Here is a 6,042-nt window from a genome sequence, read left to right on the forward strand (position 1 = left end):
GGCATTGACCATCATTTAATGATAAAGCAACACAGAACAACAATATGAATTTTCTCCTCAAAAGAATATTAATACTTTGATCAGTATAAAGTATTCGCTATATAGGTTAAGTAATGAGTGTCTAGATATGTCTCCACAGAGGTACGTGCTACTATGGTTTTGGTGATAAGTTATGGTTTTTCTATAGTTTAGTAGAATATATAAGCATTATGAGACATCACTTTTTTTGCTATAGAAATTACATTAAATTTGTTTTACGTTAGGAAAGCCTACAAGAGTGTTGGATATTGTTCATTTGTTTGTTTTTTGGTCTGGATGGCAAGTAGAAACTTCAATCAGAGTTGTCTTGGCAACTTCATTATTAAATTCCTGTAGGGTCTGCTCTGATTAGGGAGCAAAAAAGCAATAAACAGATTGTGAACCTCCAGGTTCCCAAAGACTTTGCATCTTTCCCATAATTTGGCACTAATATACTAGGTAGATAAAATGCTCATATTCTTATTACTCCTTTCATTTTAAAGAAGGTTTTGAAAACAACCAACCACACGAAACCTCAACCAATAATTCTTTAAGTTACTGGTAAAACTGATCATTTTTCCCCAAAAAAGGTCTTCAAGAGAATAAAACCTACAGTAAATTTTTTTATTGAGTATATTTATGCTTTGTACCCAGACTATTTTTTAAAAAATTTTTAAGTCACTTACAAAAAAAGTATTGAAAGCCAGAGAATTACAAATGAAGCAAGAAAAGAAATATCCAAGTTATGTAGCAGAAAGGATGCAGAGAGGGGTACTGTGACCTTTGGTTCATGGCAGGCACATGGATGACTACATTAAGGGAGACAGCAAATATTCCAAGTACTAAATGTTTTCATGGCAGCACTGTGCAACTAGAGCACAGCATAAAGACATGAGCGTTTCTAGAATCCCCTCCGAAAAACGCTCAGAAACGTGACTTTATAAACTTTGCCTGTTACAAAATTTCACCTTCAGGGTGCATCTGCTTTGCCATTTCTCCCCTACTTTATTTTTCTGCCCCAGGAAAAGAACAGTAAACTGTTATCCAAAATATGTTTGGAAGGATGAGTTAAACAAAATTAAGAGCCAATTGCTGAGAGTTAATCCAGAGTGGTAAAACTTTTATTTCATTTATTCAATAAAAACAAACAAAGTTTCTAAGCAGGGATCTGTCATTCCTGGCCTCTCCCCATACAAACACTCTAGAGTTAAATTATAAGCCTTTTGTAAGCTGGCACCAATACTTCCATTCTAATTATTTTTATTTTAAATGCAGGTTTACATTTCTGTTAATTGTTTAGGTGATTTCCATGAATAAAAGAAATTAGAGAACTTGAGAGGGGAAGAGAGAGGCCTGTATTGCAGGCTACTCTGACTGTAGCATGCAGTGATCATTCACCCACAGACTCAGGAAATACAATGGAAAATTGATTAAAGGCATGTTTATTATTGATGAGTGTGCATCGCACAAATTGCGTTCAAATAGTCTTAAAAATTCTTAAAATGCTTTTATATAAAAAATTTAGAACAATTTCAAACAAAAAGTTGAATTAAAAGCAATTCTTGTACCTAAAGTCAACTCCTCATTAGAAACTTTTGCTATTACAAACGTTTTCCAGGTCTTGGATGGACACTTTTACTGCATTTTTAAATGAATTTTTAAAAAGTAAAATTCAAATTAGCTAAAGTAACTTTACGTACTTTGCATACAGTACATTACTTAACTTTCTAGATTCTCACGGTCCACTTTCATACTATGCCCACTATGTTTGCTTTTTCCTCCATTATACTGGCAATTTCTTTAATTACACCAGCAGGTGGCACTATGATACACTGAACCAGGGAAAACAAAATGAATTGTTAACATTTCGCTGGGACTATTGATTGCTGTCAGGAAAATCAACTTCTAAAGTCAAGTCATATTTTAATATTTTTCTTTATTAAAACCTGCAAATAAAAAGTTAAAGCTTGACTTCTGGGTACTTTTATGAATTATACAGAGATGATGAAAGGTATATATCTGTTTCTTCAGAAAATTTGGAGCTATGCAAAAGAGGAGCACCCAGAATACACATTGAGTGTGTTTCCAGGGCAAATCTGCCTAAGATAAAGGCAGATATTTATGAAAAGCTTTAAAGTGGCATTTGCTTAGAAGGTTCCAAATGTACTTATTTATTAATAAAAAAAATTATACTCCATAATGAAACTGTTTAAAATCAACTCTGAATCATCAGTAAATGATAATTATTTGTTTCAATTTTCAAGAAAAATGTAACAACTATTTATTTTATTGTTTTATCTAATCTTACCACTGAAACCATCAATACATGAACGATTATAATATTTTTAAAACAAAGTTATGCTGTACTGCAAAGTATTTTCAAAATTTGCAGTACCAAAGATCACATTATATATGTTTGCTAGCATAAGTTTTGCTGAATATCAGAAAGTGTTTAAGGAAAATCTACTCTACTGAGGGAATATTGCTTTATTTACTTTATAAACTTGTATCTCTACGTACAATTGAAATAAGATATATGTTTTTAGTTTAATATATTCTCACCAACACCCTAGAACAACACACTAGGAAAACTCTTTAGGCAGCCAAATCTAGGCCACCACTCATTTTGTAAATAAAGTTTTACTGGAACGTAGCTATGTATGTTCATTTGTGTATTGTCTATGAATGTTTCACACCAACAGCTGAGTTGAACAACTGTGTTATAGATGGGCTGGCCCACACAATCCAAAATACTTATCTGCCCTTTACAAAACGGTTTGCCAACCTAATTCTTTTTTTTTTTTTTTTTTGAAACGGAGTCTCGCTCTGTCGCCCAGGCTGGAGTGCAGTGGCGCGATCTCAGCTCACTGCCAGCTCCGCCTCCTGGGTTCACGCCATTCTCCTCCTGCCTCAGCCTCCTGAGTAGCTGGGACTACAGGCGCCCGCCACCACGCCCGGCTAATTGCTTTTGTATTTTTAGTTAGAGACGGGGTTTCACCGTGTTAGCCAGGATGGTTTGGATCTCCTGACCTCGTGATCCGCCCGCCTCAGCCTCCCAAAGTGCTGGGATCACAGGCGTGAGCCACCGCACCCGGCTTGCCAACCTAATTCTAAAATACAAGTTTGATTTATTTTTTTTCCTTTCAAATTACGTAAAGAAATTGCATGAATAAAAAGTACAATAATAATCTAATATATGCTTGTGATTGCTCTCTACCAATTGTTATACAAATAATTAAATGAAACATCAAAATTGATTAATTAATACTGAATTCTTTAGACTTCAAATAATTTTGGATGGATATCCCATGAGACACAGGGGATACAAATAGTTATAACACTCTGTTACTCATATGCAGGAGCTTATAGTGTTTTTGCAGAGGTAATATACTTAAAAAAGAGAACTGCTAATACAAACCAAGTTAAGCTAAGTTCCAAAGATTAGATATAGTGAATAAATGCTGTAAGAATTCAGGAAAAGGATAGATGATTGTTTAAGGTAACTAAATTTGGAGGCTATGTAATCAATAATAATTTTAAAGATGGAGAGTTTGCTTAATCCTAAGAAGTAGGATTCACAAGTTTGGTTAGCAAGGGTAAGAAAGAACATTCTAGACCAAAAGAATAGGTTGACTCATTTTGATGTAGGTACATGTATTCCAAACATTTATAACATTTTATAATTTATTTTATTATTAATATGTTACTATGTTCTTGAGTTTTTGATGGTTTTGTCATTTAACTTAAAATGGAAATATGTATCTAATTTGTAAAGGATAATTCCTACCAGAAACATATTGTATAGAGAAGTAATCGCTAAATGATGACTATAAAAAACTACAGTTTATGTGGTGCCTAAATTCGTTTCCTCCCAGTCTCCAAAAAAGAGTGATTTTTAAATTCAGTTAAGTATAATCAAAACAATATTAGTAGAGCTTACTATACAATTGATCCTGGTTTTTAAGTACCTAGGCATACAAATATTTTATCTGAGTATGTCAAGAGAGACAGTTCAAGGGAATAGAGTTTGTTAATACAGAAGACAGAATAATACTATATATTTTATCTTCAACTTAATCTGTGTGCTTTCATTTCAAGGGCCACAAGTGTTAAGATAATTCAAGAGGTTAGTAAAAATGTATAATGAATTATTATCGGATTGAAACAGGTATTCAATGTTTTTAAACAGAGTTTTGCTTCATATTCAGAGGAAAAGGAACAAGTTAAAAAGCATATTAAATGTTGTTTCAGTATGACTGTTCTGTCTTCAGTGGAAATGCTGGGCAGTTTTGATTGCTTATTCTTTGCTTATTTTAAAATACATTGTCTAGAATTTTCTTAGATAAATTTGAAATTAAGAAAAGAAAATAAATCTTCTTAGGATTTACTTCTGCTACAATTTAGAGTGTGAATATAGAGAAAGACCTAAACAATATGACTTTGGAGTACAGGAATTATAGCATTAAATAGGATATTGGTAGAGCAGGAAATTCTAATTAACTACAGTAACATGTCAGTTATTTGGCACTGTTCGATAGAAATAATAGGATGTGAATTTCTATTAAACACATCCTATTACCGTTATTAATGTATAACATTACATGTTATACATTACAAATAACATGCCAAATAACACTGTAATAGTATGTGTTCAATAGAAATTTTTGTCTGTGAAACTAGAGACAATCCTTTTCAGTGTTAAAACATTTTAAAAAACATAAATAACTAAGATTCTTGAAGATTATATAATATTTATTAGTTGATGCAAGATCATCATCAATATCAGTCATCCTCATCTTATTAGGCATCAGTAGCCACATTTGCCACTCTAATTAGAAGGGCAAACAGATTTGGACAAAACTAATTGTGGCCTATGGGAATATTGTTTCCCATTCTTTAATTCCTTCCTCTGCCATACGACCTTGAAGTGCACTAGAGTCCGTGAAATGCATTGCTCTGCTCCATCCATGTTGGGCTTAGTCAAATGATTTTTTTAGGCATATGCAATATGGATAGGTCTTAAGAAACACTGTGTATTTCTACTTGCTTTCTTATGCTCATGTTAAATGTCAAAAGAAGAGTATGCCCTGGATAGCTGCTGGTCCCAGAATGAGACCTGTGGAGCTCCCTGGAGCCCCACCGATACCCTGGAGCCCCACCCAGCTGACCCACAGCCTGAAGCAGAACTGCCCCATATAGATTTTTGAACAAGAAGAATAAATGTTGCTGCTTTTCTGAGCCATTGAATTTAAGTAATAGCTCTGTACTATACAAGATATTCTGCATAAACCAAAGACTTTATTTTTGGTGACTTCAGCTTATATTAATCTATAAGTCATGAATAAAGCATAAGGCTTGTTTTTGAAAATTGATGGTGGAAACCTCACTTAGTTTTTTATACATGCATAACGCAAGTTAAGCTGTAAATTGTAGAAATTTCTGAATCTTTTCTAGATGCGCGATCAGTTTTACCTGTATCTGAAATAGATGGTTCATGGAAGCACCTATAGCCACAAATGAATTTTCGTACTTATTTGATAAGGTTTAGAATTTCTTTAACAGGGTAGGGAGATGTGTTTGATTTTACAATTACATTAAATGAATAAACTAATGGGAGAGAGTAATTTTTTGGTAGATTGTCTCCAAAAATGGGAACCAGCAATTCCTCCCATTCCTATTCTATGTATGCTTCTCCTTTATCAAAAGATGGGGTCTGTGACTCCTCTCTTTTAATCTGTGCTGGCCCTGTGACTTGCTTTGACCCTATATCAGTTTTGGGTGTAGAGCTTAAGAGATCTGACAGTTTCCACTTTTGCTGTTTTGAAAGCCAAGCACCAAGTAAGAAGTTGAATCTTGTTGGAGAGAGAGGACCAGCCAGTCTCTGGCTGTTCCATTCACCCTAGCTGAGGTATCAGCCATGTAACTGAGGCCAACTTGATGGTGCAGCTATAGTCCAACTTCCAGCTAAATATGTTTGCCTAAATTTCCTCAAGTAATGCTCTCTGGAACTGAGGGGTCCAGCTG

The sequence above is a fragment of the Homo sapiens genome, chromosome 3, assembly GCF_000001405.40.
Source record: "Homo sapiens chromosome 3, GRCh38.p14 Primary Assembly".
In the NCBI taxonomy this organism is placed as follows: Eukaryota; Metazoa; Chordata; class Mammalia; order Primates; family Hominidae; genus Homo; species Homo sapiens.